This window comes from Homo sapiens, chromosome 7 (assembly GCF_000001405.40).
Source record: "Homo sapiens chromosome 7, GRCh38.p14 Primary Assembly".
Classification (NCBI taxonomy): Eukaryota; Metazoa; Chordata; class Mammalia; order Primates; family Hominidae; genus Homo; species Homo sapiens.
The window spans coordinates 103418424-103437001 of NC_000007.14; the positions used below are offsets into that span (position 1 = coordinate 103418424).

At 39.2% G+C, this 18578-nt stretch overlaps 1 protein-coding gene across 14 annotated transcripts in view; it reads right to left on the minus strand.

Moving 5' to 3' along the window:
* SLC26A5 (solute carrier family 26 member 5) overlaps window positions 1-18578 on the minus strand; it is a 93478-nt gene that overhangs the window by 65694 nt on the left and 9206 nt on the right. For all 14 annotated transcript variants that reach the window (NR_135802.2, NR_135801.2, NR_120442.1 and 11 more), the window contains 2 exons: window positions 2940-3144; window positions 2315-2454 (listed from right to left, as the gene is read on the minus strand). Coding sequence is in view for 8 of the 14 variants with exons in the window: in NM_206885.3 (NP_996768.1) it covers window positions 2315-2454; window positions 2940-3091 (292 nt within the window). In the remaining 6 variants the exon portion in view is untranslated. The remainder of the gene's footprint in view (window positions 1-2314; window positions 2455-2939; window positions 3145-18578) is intronic.

Genomic DNA, 18578 nt, shown 5'->3' on the forward strand with positions numbered 1-18578 from the left:
GTCAGTCCAGCTTGACTGAATGTCAGTTTGACTTCTGCTTCCTGTTTCAGATACTGGGCCCTTATCCGCTCCTCACCCTGCCCTTGCCCCTGCCTTTGAATCTGTCCCTTTCTCTGTTCTTGGGGTGATGGCACCAAAATGATTGTGGGAATCTGTCCCAAATCTGCTTTAAGATTTTGTATAATAGATTTAATAAATATGGTAAATCAGTCACTTGGAAAATAAAAAACTCAGCTAATTGATCATTAGGGGAAGTGATTTGTTTTTGACAAGTTATTTTTTTGGAAACTGGCTAGAAGGGAATTGATTTTTGGCCAGCTGACCTACAGCTGTTCAAGCCATTATCACCTTTGCCTACCATGAGCTGCTGTCACCTCTACCTGGTCTCCTCACATCCATTCTGGTGCCTCTCCCACTACCCAAATCCATTCCCCCCACAGCAGTCTTCAGTGACCTCTTACAAAGTGATATGGTTTGGCTGTGTCCCTACGCAAATCTCATCTTGAATTGTAGCTCCCATAATTCCCATGTGTTGTGAGAGGGACCGGATAGGAGGTAATTGAATCATGGGGGCGGGTCTTTCCCATGCTGTCCTCATGATAGTGAATATGTCTCACGAGATCTGATGATTTTACGAGGGGCAGTTCCCCACACAAGCTCTCTCTTGCCTGCCACCATGTAAGATGTGACTTTGCTCGTTTGCCTTCTGCCATGATTGTGAGGCCTCCCCAGCCACATGGAACTGTGAGTCTATTAAACCTCTTTTTCTTTATAAATTACCAAGTCTCAGGTATGTCTTTGTTAGCACTGTGAGAAGACTTATGCACAAAGAAAACCTAAATAAAAAGTAATGCTGATAGCTTTTCACTGTACTCAGAATGAAACCCAAAAATGGCCTAAGAAGACTCTGCAGGCCTACTTCTGCCCACCTCGCCTGCCACTGCCCCCTGCTCCCTCACACTGCTGGAACACTGCTTTTCCATTCATTCTTTGTACCATACCCAATTCTTTTCCTGCTCAGTGCCTTCACACATGCTATTCCTTCTGCCTGAAATGCATTTTCTCTCATTCTTGACCTGAGTCAGGTCTCAGCTCAAACCTCATTTCCTGGATCCACTATTTTTTTTTTTTTCCAATAGAGTCTTGCTCTGTTGCCCAGGCTGGAGTCCAGTGGCACGATCTCAGCTCACCGCAACCTCCACCTCCCAGGTTCAAGTGATTATCCTGCTTCAGCCTCCTGAGTATCTGAGACTACAGGCACATGCCACCATGCCTGGCTAATTTTTATATTTTTTGTAGATATGGGGTTTCACCATGTTGGCCAGGCTGATCTCGAACTCCTGACCTCAGGTGATCCACCCACCTCAGCCTTCCAAAGTGCTGGGATTACAGGCGTAAGCCACCACAGCCGGCCCTAGATCCACTATTTTTATTTCACAATACCTTATATTTTCCTCCATTTTGCTTATCATTATAATTAAAATTTTTATATGTGCTTTTTTCTGCTTAGCAATCTCATGCCTTGATTGGATGGTTAGTGAGCTCCATGAGGACAGTGAGCCAGATAGGTGCCTAATAGACATGTACTGTTTAGAATACATGAATAAATTAATGAATAAGTTAATGAATATTAAGTTCTTATATCACATATAAAACCACAGAGTTGCTGCAATATACTACAGGAATTTAGCATATCATGGTCCCTTGTAATTAGAATATGGACTCAGAAGCCACAAACCTTAACAACAACCATAACAACAAAATGTTTCTTGAGTGACTGACTTAGCAAGTGGTAAGATAATGCCCAAGCAGTGTACTGATCTGCAAAGTAGTAACACCATTTTCTACTATTAATATCCCTGGAGCTTTTTTTTTTTTTTTTTTTTTTTTGAGACAGGGACTCACTCTGTCTCCCAGGCCGGAGTGAAGTAGTATGATCATAGCTCATTACAGCCTTGAACTTTGGGGCTCAAATGATCCTCCTATGTCAGCCTCTTGAGTAGCTGAGACTACAGGCATGCCCAGCTATGTTTTTTGTTTTTGTTTGTTTTTGTTTTGGTAGAGACAGTGTCTCACTTTGTTGCCCAGGCTGGTCTCCAACTCCCAGTCTCAAGTGATCCTCCCACCTTGGCCTTCCAAAGTGCTGAGATTACAGGTTTAAGGATTACATGTTTCTGAAGAATACCTTTAGATAGGTAAAGGTTACTAGAAAGATATGATAAAAATTATGAATTTGCAATCATGATGAAATAAACAGAAGGTCAAGCAATTGTTTGAGGACAGCAAGGGGGGAAAGAAAGAAAGATCTACTGACCTTGAGGAAGCTGAAGCACCCCTGTGCTTATGCCTGAGACCAAGTCACCCAACACATATTCCTTGAATTTGTATGCTGGCAGCCATTTAGTTATGGGTAGGAACATATAAATGATATTTCTTATTTTTTTAGGAGTACATCTGAAAGGACAAAGACAGACAGAGATAAAGTTATAAATGAGAAACATCTCTGTAGAATTCAAACCAAAGCATTTTCCCTTCCTTATTCCCAGGAGCAATCTGGAAAAATTTCCAATTGGTGATTCAAGATGTTGCCAAACAGGGTAGGAGTCAGGGATAGGGAAAAAAAGAGAGTGGGTGGAATATTCCTGGGAGACAAAAGATATTTTCAAGGTGGGTGGAGAATTAGAAAGCATGTTGGTTATGTTAACATTTACACAGAAAAAAGGCATAGTAGGAATTCAATAAATATGGTGAAATTCATGATGAAGCCTGTGTGCAAATATCTAACGCTGACTGAACCTCGTGAACAGCTTTGCAAACCATGATGGCTCAGCATTCATTTTTCTCTCCACTTCACCAAACAGATTTTCTTTACACATTTGACCTTGCGCCTCTCATAACTGAATGATACAATAACAGAAACAGGTTAAAAGGCAACGTACGTGAATGCCTGTTTCAGCTTATCCGCAATGGAATCAGGAACCTTGTCCTTTGTGTGTAGTCTTTCCTGGAGGACCGGATGACTAAAGATAGGCCTTTCCACATAGTACCTCTGGGTTGCTGCAAGGATTTCATTTTCTTCAGCATGATCCATAGTACTCTGAAATTATTCCTTAACAGCCGGAGACAAGCATTTCCTGAGTGTCACTAGGGGAAAAAAGAAAAACTCCATTTTACTTGCCAAAATCCTACTGATGACTTTTCCTAAGCATCTCTTCTTTGTGGTGTTCCAAGTTCTTCTGAGGCTTTCTTTGGACGCCCCAGAGGACCTAATGTATTGATCTGTATATAGGAGGCAGTAATTAATGAAATCAAAATCAATTAAAAAAACGTGACTTATTCCCTCCCAGAGTAATAAATGGTTAATGTGTGTACTTTTAACAAAAGCTCATATTAAGTGCAATGGCTAAATACTAGTCAGTTCCCTCTAGGTCCACATAAGAGGAATTGCAAATTAGGTCAATTTTGACCAGCTATATGTCAAGGAAACAGAAAAAAAGAGTACGATCAGTCCTTAAATTGACTCAATGTTTCTTAAAGCTATATTAGCCTCATTTCCAATTCTATATTTATGGTTGATTACTCTTTAAATTATTCTATGGTTCAGAGTTTAGGCTTACATGTCTGTTTGAGGCAAGTTGCTGGTGACCTTTGTGAAAGGCAGTAAGTTAAGAACATCAGCACACTATTCTAATATTGTTTTGAAGTTGATTACATTGTCATGTTTTTGATTATTAGAATGACTGATAGTTTTTTTCATTGCTACACAGTGATACCACTTATATGAGTAAAACAATGATTAAAGAATAAAAATACAACATATTTGTGCATATGGAGTTGTGTACAAGAATGTTTTCTGCAGCCTTATAACAGTGAAAAGTACTTGTATGCAGTAAAAAATACATTTTGGTATATTCATAAATTTAATTCTATGTAGTAATTAAAAGAAATGCACTAAATTTCTGTGTCATCATCAATACATCTCAGAGGCAATTTTCAACAAAAATGTAAGGCACAGTTGAATACTGAGAGGATTCAATTATTTAAAGTTTAAAAACATAAAACAATAGTATATGTTATTACATATATTTGTAGTAAAAGTATAAAACCACTCATGACAACAATAAATACTGAGATCAGGATGGTGTTACCTCTAGAGAGAGGGAAATGAGACTAAGAAGGGATAGTAGAGGGCTTCTACTAACTGTATCTGCAATGTTTTAGTTTGTAAAAAAAAGAACTGGCACAAAGACAGCAAAATGTGAAGATCTGATTATGCTGCTTAGTAAGTAAACTGGTGCTTGTTACATGATTGTACTTGTCTGTACATTTGAACTATATACCTCATAATAAAATATTAAATGCACAACAACTAAAGCCAGTATTCCCAAATGAAGGAAGTTAATGGCAGAGCAGGCAGAGGTTAACATGAATGCATGGTTAAGTGCTTGTGTGGTGACTGTGGAATTGTGAGGGCTACTAATGTTGGTCAATACAACTCCTTCACAGTGAAAACTCAGGTTTTCATCAAAATGAAATCACATTCAAATTGAAATCAAGGCCAGGCATGGAGGCTCACACCTGTAATCCCAGCACTTTGGGAGGCTAAGGTGGGTGGATCACCTGAGGTCAGGAGTTCGAAACCAACCTGGCCAACATGGAGAAAACCTGCCTCTACTAAAAAAAAAAAAAAAAAAAAAAATTAGCTGGGAGTGGTGATGCACACGTGTAATCCCAGATACTTGGGAGGCTGAGACAGGAAAATCACTTGAACCCGGGAGGCAGAGGTTGCAGTGAGCTGAGATCGCGCCATTGTACTCCAGCCTGGGCGACAAGAGTGAAACTCCGTCTCAAAGGCAACAAAACAAATTGAAATCAGGGTTGTGTATGATCTACCACAAAATATTGTGCAAAATAAATACCTATGTCCAAAGAGGTTGAAAATTCAAGAGCCTATAATAAAAAGAAATTCTGGCAGCAAATGCAACCAAGTACCACCAAGGATGATATTAAAATGTTATGGTTTGACTGTTTTTGTCTCTTTCAAAATTCAAGTTGAAACTTAACCCCCAATACAAGAGTATTACGAGGTGTGGTCCTTAGGAAGTGATTGATCATGTGGGCTCTGGAGCACTCACGAATGGGATTAAGTTATAAAAAGACTTAGCACAGGGAGTTCACCCCCTTTCATCCCTTCTGTCCCTTCCGCCATGTGAGGATACAGTGTTCCTCCTCTCTAGAGGATGATGCAATAAGACACCATCTTGGAAGCAGAGACACCTGGCCCTTACCAGCTGGTGCATTGTTCTTGGACCTCCCAGCCTCCAGAACTGTGAGAAATAAATTTCTATTGTTTATAAATTTCTGTCTGTGGTATTTTGTTATAGCAGCTCATATGAACTAAGAAATGGTAAATCTGGAGGAAGAATTTTGCAGCAGAACCTGAGAAATAAAGATGATATGTTTTTTGTTTCAGACTAGTAAGGTGGGTTGGCCACCTCTCATCTAGCTCTTTAGGGCCACTCTAGGAACTCATCAAAATACAAGAATGACTGGGCTGATGTATGAGTGGAGTTTGACACATCACAAACCCTACCACTGGCTTCCACCTACCCTAACTCCTCCAGATCATTACATGACAGCATTATAAAACCATTTGTAATCCAGGCAACATACCATGCTGCTTTAAGCCTCTGTGCCCATCCAGAGTTTCAATTCATTCTAATAAGAGATGTTGTTGCTTTCCCTTCACTCCTTCCATTTTCCCCACAGCCTAATCATTGTATCTTCCAAACCCTTGTTCTGTCTTCTGCTTTTCTGTGAGGTCTCCCCTCACTTATAATCCTTTATGAAATGGGCCTATGCATGTTACTTGGTATACGCTTCCATTCTTCTATTCTAATAGAATCATTGATCTCCTCTTCTAGACTGTAAATTCTTTGAGACAATATCATACTCTGAATTCCCAGGACCTAGCTCAGTACTTGTATCTTAGCAGGTGCTCAGTAACTGGGAGGTGAATGAAATCTTTGAATGGGTATGTTATGATTATTGATAATGCATGCCATGCTTCCTCTCTTTCATCTTATAGATTATGTCTGCTTTGAACTTTTATTATTTTTTGTAGACATCATCTTCTTAGTCTTTTGTCCTAGTTCAGAAAGGTAATTTCTTCCTACATATGGCCCCTTGAAGAGAAAAGGAACAGGTAGACCTGAGGAAGGTCTAATAAGAATCAGACTCTAGTTTTTCTCCTGTTGCAGAAACTCAGTTTTACCATTGATTTTCCTGTTACCCCACAGGAGTTTGCTCAGCTGTCAATCAGGTGAATTATGATGATCAAGTCTAGGGATGTTTTATCACCTACAAGGCAGTGGTGACAAAATGTGGCCAATCACCACAATGGTCTGGGGAGGGCTTGAATTACTGGGTTCAGGGCCTTAACCTGAACCTACCCAGTTAGGATTTCCACTGGGTGAGGCCTAAACAATGGGTATTCACTACTTGTGGATGTAAGCGTGTGTCTCTTACCCATGTATGTGGCAACCTTCTCTGGAGATTTCAGGGCAACAGAATGGTTTACACTGTAGCATAGCAGAGAAAACACTTAAAACACTAGGTATCTTTATCTTTAGTCTTAAGAGTCCTTCGGCTATCCCCAACATCAGGAATTCCTCGTGACACCCGTGAATCTGAGAGTATAAACACAAGAGGGTGGTCACTTACCACTCCCTTATTTCTCCTTCTCCCAGAACCTCAAAATTCCTTCTATTTCATTAAGCAGAGCAATTATATTTATGTATTAAAAGTTCCCCAGGACATGCAGTTGATCAGCTAGATAGGTACTTGACATATTGAAAACACTGGCTTTCAACTCTGGCTAAACCTAGAACTTCCTTAGGTACTTTTATAAAACACTAATGCTTAGGATCCACACCTGACCAACTAGAGCACAGCCTCCAGGAGGCAGGCTTGGGCATTTCTTTATAGCATCCTAAGATGATTTTAACGAGCAGTTCAAGTTGAGAAGCACTGGCTTAGAATCTGAGAGAGAGAGAAATACATATGAAAAATACATAAGAAAAATCACAAAGAAATATTTGAAAATGAAAACCAATTATAGATGTTGAAGAAATTAATACTGAATCAGTGACAAGATTAAAGCCTCATAAGATCATTTTTTAAAGTAAACTTTATATTATACATCATATATAGAATATATAATACAAAATAATAAATGTAATTGCCATAAGATGCTTACTGAAAAGTACATGAAATCAGTTTTGAAGAGGATTAAAATATAAGGTCATAATTTAGTAGTTAAAAGAGCTTTTTCAAATTTGCCATTTTCATTTAGGGCATTGGTTCTCAGCCATGGCTGCACATTGGAGTCACCTGGGCAGCTTTAAATACTGATGCCCGAGTCTATTTCCAGTGATTCTGATTTAATTGGTCTGCAAAGCAGACAGGGATTGAGAGCTTAAGAAGCTCTCAGGTGATTCTATTGTATAGCAAAGGCTCAAAACCACTGACATAGGAGATGGCAAAACAAACACCCTCACCCACCCATCCATGTACCCAGCACCCAAACAAAAAGAAAAAAACTAAATAGGGTGTAAATAAATTCTGTGCAATGCATTATAGCACTATCTTTACTTATGTGTGTCTGCAAAATATTTAATACAAATTACAAAAGAGTACTATTTAGCTTAGGTTTCTCAAGCAAAGTCTTGTTTCTATGCTTATATTCTCACAACAAAAGAGAGTTGTGCGGAGGTGGGCAGTGCAACATCCACTATACTTCAGGCAAATGCAGTCTTAACTGTCACAACCATTTCATTGTGGGTTTCAATTAGGAGCAAATCTCAAACAAATTTAGATCTCAAAACATAAGATGGATTTTCTAAAGCATTAAGATATGCACTATCTGTAGGGTTGCCAGAGAAAATATAGAAGGCTCAGTTAAATTTGCATATTAATCAAGAAATAATCTTTTAGTATGTCTCAAATATTGCATGGGATATAATTATATTAAAAAGTATTCTTTGTCTCAACTTTAACTGGGTATCTTGTATTTTTCTTTGCTAAATCTGGCAACCTTAACTCTCTGTAGGTTAGGAAGAGACACAGAGAGGAGACGATTCTCAAATATTTTTGAGATACTGGCACCCTGGCTATAATCTATGTCCTTTTTGAGATAGCTGGTTGGTAGTTCAAGGACATTTCAACTGGGAAAGGAAAGGAGAAGATGTTGTAATGAAAGGCTGTCCTTTCGGGGGACTTTTTATTTGCATCAACAATGATTAAATAATTAAAGCCTCGAAGGCTATCAATAACCATCTTATCAGAGGCAGAGAGGCAAAGTAACCAAGGAACCAACACTAGGAGATCAAATAACCAGACTCTTATATGACAGATAATGAGCTTCCAGTGTGCTGATTGAAATTATAAATCACCAAATTGTAAAAGTACACAAATCCTTACATGAGAAAAGTCACTTACTAAGATCACCTAAAGGGACACATCTTCTGGCAGGTCCTCAAACACAAAATACTAATGACAGCAAAGCAAATTGACCTAGAGCTTCAAGGTCCATTTCGCCACAGGCAGGAAGGGAGGAATTTGAAGGTAACTTAGAACATTTTTCATCATAGATTTTTTTTTTTTTTTTGAGACACATTCTCACTCTGTTGCCTAGGCTGGAGTGCAGTGGCGTGATCTTGGCTCACTGCAACCTCTGCCTCCTGGGTTCAAGCGATTTTCCTGCCTCAGCCTCCCGAGTAGCTGGGATTACAGGTGTGCGCCACCACGCCCAACTACTTTTTGTATTTTTTTGGTAGAGATTGAGGTTTCCCCTTGTTGGCCAGGCTGTTCTCAAACTCTTGACCCTCAGGTGATTTGCCCACCTTGGCCTCCCAAAGTGCTGGAATTATGGGTGTGAACCACTGTGCCTGGCCTCATCATAGATTTTAAAATCTAAATTTATCGTAACTCCCTCACTTTGTAGATGAGAAAATGGATCCATCTACACTCACTTGGGGGTAAGAGGCTTATCCAAAAATATTTGCAAAACACAAACCCTGTCTCCTATTCAAAGTAGTCTTTAAACGGCATCTCTGATACTTATAAAATATTGCCATGATAAATATTTATAAATAAAAAAATAACAAAATGGTAACAACATTTTAAACTTCAGACTAAGAGCCAAAGTCAGCTGCATGCCAATAATGAAGATTCACTGTGGTTTTGTGGTAGATGCTCTGAATTGGAGGTCATGATCAGTGTAGAGCCCTGGTTCTGTACCTTAAGTGTCTCAGTTGTTCTACGTTGTTATGGCAGGGTCAACTACACCAGGGTTTTCTATGCCTTGCTGGCATGTCACAATCACCTGGGGAGATTAAAACCACAATTTCCAGGCCTTCTAGAGATTCTTTTTTTTTTTTTTCTTTTGAGATGGAGTCTCACTCTGTCGCCCAGGCTGGAGTGCAGTGGTGCGATCTTGGCTCACTGCAACCTATGCCTCCTGGGTTCAAGCGATTCTCCTGCCTCAGCTTCCCAAGTAGCTGGGATTACAGGCACCCACCACCATGGCCAGGTAATTTCTGTATTTTTAGTAGAGATGGGGTTTCACCATATTGGCCAGGCTGGTCTCCAACTCTTGACCTCAGGTGATCTGCCCACCTTAGCCTCCCAAAGTGCTGGGATTACAGGCATAAGCCACTATGCCTGGCCCCGTCTAGAGATTCTAATTTAATAATTCTAGAATCTGTATTTTTTTAAAGCTCATGGAGTGAGACTGATGCACAACCTATTGGGAAAATAGATTGTGAGCCTCATGAAAGGAGAAACGCAATACTAATTTCTGTACAGTGATTGGTACTTAGGGCTAAAAAATGCTTGCTGAATGAACATATAAAAATAATTTGCCTGAGTCTTAGTTTCCTCATCTTTATTAACTTTTAAACCACTTTATTGAGATATGACTGACATACAAAAAGCTGTATATACTTAGTGTATACAAGTTGATAAGTTTGGAGGAATCTATGCCATAAATATATCCATCACCTCCAAAAGTTTGCTTTTTCTCTTAATTTATTATTATTTTGTGATAAGAACACAAGGTCTACCCTGCCAGTACTTTTTTTTTTTTTTTTTTTTTGAAACAGACACCTGCTCTTGTTGCCCAGGCTGTAGTGCAGTGGCACCATCTTGGCTCACTGCAACCTCCACCTCCCAGGTTCAAGCGATTCTCCTGCCTCAGTCTCCTCAGTAGCTGGGACTACAGGTGTGTGCCACTACGCCTGGCTAATTTTTGTATAATATTTTTACTAGAGATGGGGTTTCACCATGTTGGCAAGGCTGGTCTTGAACTCTTGACCTCAAGTGATCCATCTGCCTTGGTCTCCCAAAGTACTGGGATTACAGGTGTAAACCCCTGTGCCTGGCCTGTTAGTGCATTTTTAAGTGTACAGCAGTGGGTGGTTAACTGCAGGTACTATGCTGTACTGTAGATCTCTAGGATTTCTCCATCTTGCATAATTTTCACTTGGTTTCCTTTGATTAATTTCTCCCCATTTTTCTCTCCTCCCAGTCCCTGGAAATTACTATTCTCTGCTTCTATGTTTCCTTATCTTTAAATGTTTCCAGTGACAACATTCTGGGAACAGTATCTGGCAAGTTTCAAAATGCCAATTAAATCTCTTGGTGCTTAAACTAGCTAGAATGGATTCAGTTGTCTGAAACTAAGAGCCATCATCAGTAAAGTAATGCTTTTCTTTAAGTTTTGAAATTGTATTTTTCTCTGTGAACCGGAGGTATCAGAAAAGAGTGAGTAAGGGCATTCATCCATCTACTCAAAATAATTTACACATTTATAACTTTAATAATGCATATATTAACCTTTTAATCTCAAATATGCAAGCACATGCCCAAGCTTACTACGTCTTTCACATGACTTCTCTATGGGCCTCAATATAAACAACAAAAATAAATTTTACTATGAATTTTTTCAACATTGCCCTGAGCAACAGGATGTGAACTTTTCTATAATGTACACAGCAAATAGCAAAAGTCTCATGAATTAGAACCCAGAAAAAACATATTTTCACTTATGGCTTTATCAGCCTTTCCTAAAAGGAATTTGAAAAGCTGTTTTCTATTCTTACTACTTTTTGGACTGTTAGCAATAACCAGAATATATTATCTATCTGTTTTCCCTTATTAACTATCATTGATTAATTATAGTGGCTCAATATGTAGAAAGAGCAAAAGGCCCTAAGACCTATGCAAGCTGGTTTTGAATGTAGACTGCAAGCTCGATGAGGGCAGGACTGTTATTTCTGAGCATCAAGTGCACAGCCTGGCATGCAGCTGGCTAGCAGACATTTGTTGGCTGAATGATCTTGAGTGAGTGGCAGGGGCCAAGGTTGCCATAGCATGTAGTCTTGTGCTGTGCCCATCCTTTCCCTCTTCTTTTATATTAGGTTGGTGCAAAAGTGATTGTGGTTTTTGCCATTACTTTCAGAGGCAAAAACAATACTTATCCACTCCCCTTAAATTCCTCTGCCAAAGGACTCTTACACGTTAATATCCGTAGAGGCAATACCACATGCAGAGCCTAGGGTTCAGGACTGTGTTTGAAGGCTGGAAATGGCACTTTTTTTTTTTTTTTTTTTGAAATAGAGTTTCACTCTTGTAACCCACCCTAAAGTGCGATGGTGTGATCTCGGCTCACTGCAACCTCTGCCTCCTGGGTTCAAGCGATTCTCCTGCCTCAGCCTCCCAAGTAGCTGGAACTACAGGCACATGCCACCATACCTGGCTAATTTTTTTATTTTTAGTAGAGATGGAGTTTTACTATGCTGGCCAGGCTGGTCTCAAACTCCTGACCTCAGGTGAGCCGCCCGCCTCGGCCTCCCAAAGTGCTGGGATTACAGGCGTGAGCCAACGCGCCCAGCCAGAACTGGCACTTTAGAGCTTCATGTTTTTTTGCAAGATATACAAGCTTTCTGTACCCTAATTTCCTTATCTGTAAATGGCAGCTGGGAGTACAGGCTATGGAATGACATAGACCTCAATTCAAGTCCTGGTTCTGCCACCATGGTGGGACATCTGGTGAGTTACTTGATCTAAGTAGGGTGACCAAGGTCCTGGCTTCTGCCTGCTGTTCCAGAGAGGATGGCTTTGGAGAGGATACTGGATTTGAAGTGGCTCTCAAATAATGGATAGAAGGCAAAAAGGCAGGCACGTGATTTTGCATAGAGATGTGAAAAGGTAAACGCTAATAAGACATGTTCATGGAATACCAAAGGTACTGGTAGAAATCGTGCTTTGGGTGGTTACAGGAAATAAAACTGGAGAGGTCAAGTAGGATCAGATCTTTTAAGTCCATGAAAGGCAGGATGCAGGTTCCAATTTGCAGCCATGGGCTCTTGTTATTTGACCATACCCCAGTCCTCCTTTGTCCTATACAGAGCTACTGCTCAAAATCACTCTACCACGGATAAATTATTCCATACCACTAAATAAGTTGAATCCCTTCCAGCACTAATTTGCTGTGACTCCCTAAATTAATAAATAGCAAGATTTATTTTCCAGCCAGAAACACTTGAAAGATCTTTAACGCTCATAAGATATGCCTTTAGAATTTTCTTTGAGGTAAAAAGCTCAGTAATTCAAAGTGGTGCTTAGGTTTGAATGACAGATACTTCAATAGAAAAGAGTTCTCTAAGCAAAAATGAAAGAAGAAGCTACTGGTTGACTAGTCATTTCTTTTTCCAACATAATATACACATGATAAAATTGCAAGTATTATGAAATAACTAATAATGAAAAGCAATACTTTTCCATCCCATTCTCCCCAACTTTAGTTCTATTTCCTGAAGCAGCCATTTTCTTTCTTTCTTTTTTTTTTTCCTTTCTGAGACAGGTGTCACTCTGTCACCCAGGCTGGAGTGCAGTGGTGTGATCATGGCTCACTGCAGCCTCAACCTCCTGCACTCGAGCTGTTCTCTTGCCTCAGCCTCTTGAGTAACTGGGATCACAGGCATGTGCCACCACAGCTGGCTAATTTTTAAATTTTTCTTCATAGAGAAAGGGTCTCATTATGGTGCCCAGGCCGATCTTGAACTCATGGGCTCAAGTGATCCTCCCACCTTGGCTTCCCAAAGTGCTGGGATTACAGGTGTGAGCCACTGTAGCCAGCCACCATTTTCTTAAAATCATTTTTAATATTAATTCTTCTGGTGAGTTTATTATTAACTCTAAATCAGCAATTCTCAGAAAGAGAAACTGGTATTTCAGGTGGGATTTGTATGAGATAGTTCTGTGCATTTAGCATCTCTCTTCTTGACATTAAATGCTAGTAGCATTCTCCATCCACAGGATACACTTCCCAATCTTTCCTGGAATCGAGAACTACTGCTCTAAGTAATAAAATTATATGGCTTTTTTTTTTTACTTATCAAGTTTAGACATTATTCACGAATGCTTACCATGAAAAATTAACTTTTTTGAGACAGGGTCTGGCTCTGTCACCCAGGCTGGAGTGCAGTGGCATGAGCTCGGTTCACTGCAACTTCCACTTCCTGGGTTCAATAGATTGTTGTGTCTCAACCTCTTGAGTAGCTAACACTACAGGTGCATGCCACCACACTCACCTAATTTTTGTATTTTTTGTAGAAACGGGGTATCACCATGTTGCCTAGGCTGGTCTCAAACTCCTGAGCTCAAGTGATCCACCCACTTTGGCCTTCCAAAGTGCTGGGATTACAGGCATGAGCCACTACACTCAGCCGAAATATTAACATTTAAGTCTCCTTACTCACTTCTATTTTTGCTAAATTATATTACTATTTTTAATTTCTTTACCTATAAAACCAATATATACTGATTTATTCTCCCTTTTCTCTTTCCTTCTGGAATTTCTATTTGACATTTGTTGGAGCTTCTCCTGTCATTGTGTGCTTTAACCTCTTACATTTTACAGCTTTTTATCTCATTGGGTTGATTACAGATAGTCTTCTCAGATTTAACTTCCAGTTTAATAATCTACTTTTGGCTCTAATACATTAAGTAGGACATTAATTTTTTAAAAATATTTAAAGCCTATATTTTTCATTTCTATACTTTTTGAAATCAACTTGTTCTAATTTCATAGTGTTGCATTTTCCCTTTTGTTTTCAATTCTCTTTATTCTTTCAATAATTTTTAACACACTTCTGATCTTGTTCATCTATTTCCATTGTTTTAAATTCTTGGGGATCTGATTCTTCTGCTTGTTCTGTTTGCTGACACTCCCTTGCAGTGATTTGTAGGTTTTTAAAATTCTGAGTCATATTTAATTGTGGAAGGGGAGGAGTGGTTCTGTGGATGTTCCATGTACACTTAAGTCGTGATGTGTTTTTAGACACTTTCATGTCTACTCTGCTAGGGTTATGGTGGTTTTAGTGGGTCCTGGACATTTTCACTACTGTTGGTGTTTGTTTAATATGGTTTGAGGCTTCTGAACCACAGAGGAAGTATAATTTTGAACCTAATTTCTGAATGAGGCACAGGCCCAGGGTTTTGTTTGTTCAAGGGTGACTTTCTTTTTTTAACTTTCACTCAAGGCCTACAAGACTTCCTTGTTTCCCTAAGTAGTGGTTAGAGTTTGCCTAATACTCTATTAATGGACTAGACAGGTCTTTAGAGCTCCAGGCTTATCCAGTGTTTCAATTCCATGGTCCTGGTCTCCTGTGGGCCTGAAGCCAAATTTTCTTTCCAGGTTTGAATGATACAACTTCATCATTCAACACTCTAGGGTCTATATTCCACAGAAAAATTCCTATGGCTTGGGCTGCATGTAGGATTTCTTATTATTATTGTTCTTTTTTAAACATTTTTCTCTGCATTCTTCTGACAGTCTTTATTTCAAGGTTATTTGAACATTTGTTATGTTTTATCCTTCATTTTTGTGTGTTTGTCCTGGAGGGAGATCTGAATGAGTCAGCTTCGCCCTCTGTGTTGCTAGAAGTGCCATCATCATCAGCATCATCATTTTTTTAGGCTAGTCAAGTGAAGCAGTGGGAATGTAGAAGGAACAAAGAAATCAGTAACTGGTTGTATAAATCAGTTGTAAATACCACTGCACTTGGACCAGGAAGAATTTCCATTATTTCTATAACTATGTGAATATTGTTCACTGCTACTTCTACCTATAAAAGGAAATGCATTTAATTCTTCTTAAAGTCATTCTTCTTGAGCTCACTATCTGCCCTAATTTGTATTAATTTTTTTTTCTTTCTTTTTTTTTTTTTTTTTGAGACAGAGTCTCACTCTGTCGCCCAGGCTGGTGTGCAGTGATGCGATCTGGGCTCACTGCAAGCTCCATCTCCCGGGTTCATGCCATTCTCCTGCCTCAGTCTCCTGAGTAGCTGGGACTACAGGTGCCCGCCACCACACCCGGCTAATTTTTGTATTTTTAGTAGAGACAGGGTTTCACCGTGTTAGCCAGGATGGTCTTGATCTCCTGACCTCGTGATCTGCCCATCTCAGCCTCCCAAAGTGCTGGGATTACAGGCGTGAGCCACTGCGCCTGGCCTGTATTAATTTTTTCTAAGCCTGGTGAACATCTGTCAACCTACAGTTTATTTCATTGCAATTGTGGATTAGCTCCACTCTTTCTAATTCCACAGCTTCCTCCTCCTTGCTTTATACCCTCATTTTGCTGGAGTGCATCCTTAGGCAACTGCTTTAGAAAAGGTACTCAGAAGTAAACGGCCTGAGTCTTTGAATGTCTGAAAATGTCTTCATTTCACCCTCACGCTTGATAAGTTACTGACAATATGATTCTAAGTTCAAAATCATTTTTCCTTACAAATTTAAAGCCATTGCTCTATTAAAATCCAGTTTCCTCATGAGAAGCCTTATGTTAATCTTAAACGACTTTATTTTTCCTTTCAGAAAGTTTTAGGAATCTCTGTGTATTCTTGACTTGGAAATTTTGTAACAATTGTATCTCTGCATGTTTTTTCATTCACTTGATGGGCCTTTTAACCTCACACTTTTCCTCAACTACAGGAACTTTTTTTCCTAGCATTTAATTGTCAATTTCTTACCTTTTATTTTCTTTGTTTTCTATCTCAGAAAACAAAGATTTTCTTACTGGATTGCTTCTGTCTCTCCTCTTTTCTAGCATATTCTTTCTTTCTTCAAAATTTGGTTGTGCATTCCAAGAGATTATTTTTATTTATTTATTTATTTATTTATTGAGACAAAGTCTCACTCTATTGCCCAGGCTGGAGTGCAGTGGCGCGACCTCAGCTCACTGAAACCTCTGCCTCCTGGGTTCAAGTGATTCTCCTGCCTCAGCCTTCTGAGTAGCTGGGAGTACAGGAGTGCGCCACCACGCCCAGCCAATTTTTGTATTTTTAGTAAAGACGGGGTTTCACCGTTTTGGCCAGGCTGGTCTCGAACTCCTGACCTCGTGATCTGCCCACCTCAGCCTCCCAAAGTGATGGGATTACAGGCGTGAGCCACTGCACCTGGCCCATTACAGGAGATTTAAAAATCATTATTGTTATTAATATTATTATTTAGGCTAGTCAAGTGAAGCAGTGGAAATGAAGGAACAAAGAAATCAGTAACTGGTTGTGATCAATTAGTTGTAAACACCACTGGACTTGGACCAGGAAGAATTTCCATTATTAGCCTTCTAGTAAATTATTTTTATTTTAGTTATTTAAAAAAATGTTCAACATCTTTTTTATTTTCTGATTGCTCTTTCTGAATAACATCACGCTTTTGTTGTGTGGAAACAACAACTCTAATCATGCTAAGAGTGCTCAGATTTTTAAAAAAGGCGATTTTCTTTTCCCTGAATGATCTCTCCTCTGGCAATAGTAATTGTTTATCTTGATGTTTCTTTTTCATGCTTCTTCATATGTCAGGTTATTCTTGGTTATATAATTTCTTTATAAATTAAGGATTTCGTTTGTTTTTCTGGTTGATTTGTGCCACTTTCTTCCACTGTCATGTATATAAGTGTCTCCAGGATAGGACTCTTCCCTGAACGAAATGAACATTAACAGCCTTTGTGTACCGGAGTGGGCTTTGTTGATAGCTAGTTATACTTTGGGTGAAGAGGCAAGAGCTAGCCTTTTAGCCAGGGCCCACCCTCTTTCTAAATGCCAGAAAGAGAAAAGATTTACTCTATGGTGCCAATACTCTAGAGAAGCCCTACTTCACTATAACTAGTCCATGAAGACTTTCCATTAATCTCGTTGCTCATGCATGCTCCCCATTGCTGCTAACTCCATACAGGGGGTTCTTTCTAGGGGATCACTTGCACTCCGAGGGTGGTCCTTTTTGTACAAATTCTTGGTTCTGTTTAATCAGTAATTTGCTTCCAAGCATTTTCATATCCCATTATCTTCAGAGTTCTTCCCCCTTTGTATCTTTTACGGTCATTTTAATGGAGTTTTAGGATAGAGAGTAAGCAAGTACTTATGCTTGGCCTGTCATCTTTAACATTTGACTTGTTATTATTGACCATTTTGTAAACTGGGCATTTGTACGCTAAAATTTATAAAACACATTTTAATATAAAATATATAGGTGTATGGAGAAAGTTTTGAAAGTATTTACCATAACATGGTAAACAGAGGTTATGTTTGATGGTAGAATTATGAGTAATTTTATTTTTTTTGCTTATCTGTATTTTCTAAAATTTCCATAGTAGGCACTATTATTTTAGCAACACACATTATAAGCCTAAGTGTTAAGTGTTGATAATAGGAGTAATAGTTAAGATATTTTCTGTTATCGTCTCAGGAAAGAAGTCTGAAAATTCAGGAGACCCTTGGCATTTGAGACGAAAGCGCAAGTTAGGTCCAGAGACCCCTGAGAATCCTGAGATTTGAGACCAGCATTAAGTGAAAGGGGAATAGGCGAGTTTCTGGACTGATTTAACAAAATCAGGCTTATGATTTTGTTACATGCTTCACATACAACCCTAAGAGGCAGGTACTATTTTCTAAACTACCAATTAAACGTATCAGGCCCCTTCAGATTTGCTCCCCACTGATAGTTGAAACCCAAACTGCTAAGCATCTACTGAAGGAGTCATAAACCAATACCACCAATACCAATACAAGGAGCCAGGTAGTTAATGAAAATGACAGAAGTGGACAAGGTGTCTAAGCCAATCTAGAAAGCATGTGCCAAGCCCAAAGTGGTCAGCTGCTATCCAGGTATTGCTGAATGTTGGGTAGGGCTTCCATTTAAAACTTTTCTTTAGACAGTCTCTTCAATAAATGGTGCTGGGAAAACTGGCTATCCACATGCAGAAGAGTGAAATTGGATCCTTTTCTCATACTATATGCAAAAACCAACTCAAAATGGATTAAAGACTTAAAAGTTGAGACCTAAAACTGTAAATCTACTAAAAGAAAATGGGGGAAAGCTCCATGATGCTGGTCTAGGCAATGATTTTCTGGATATGGCTCCAAAGTCACAGACAACAAAAGCAAAAACAGACAAATGGAATGGCATCAAACTAAGGCTCTGCACAGCAAAGGAAACAACAAAATGAGGAGACAACC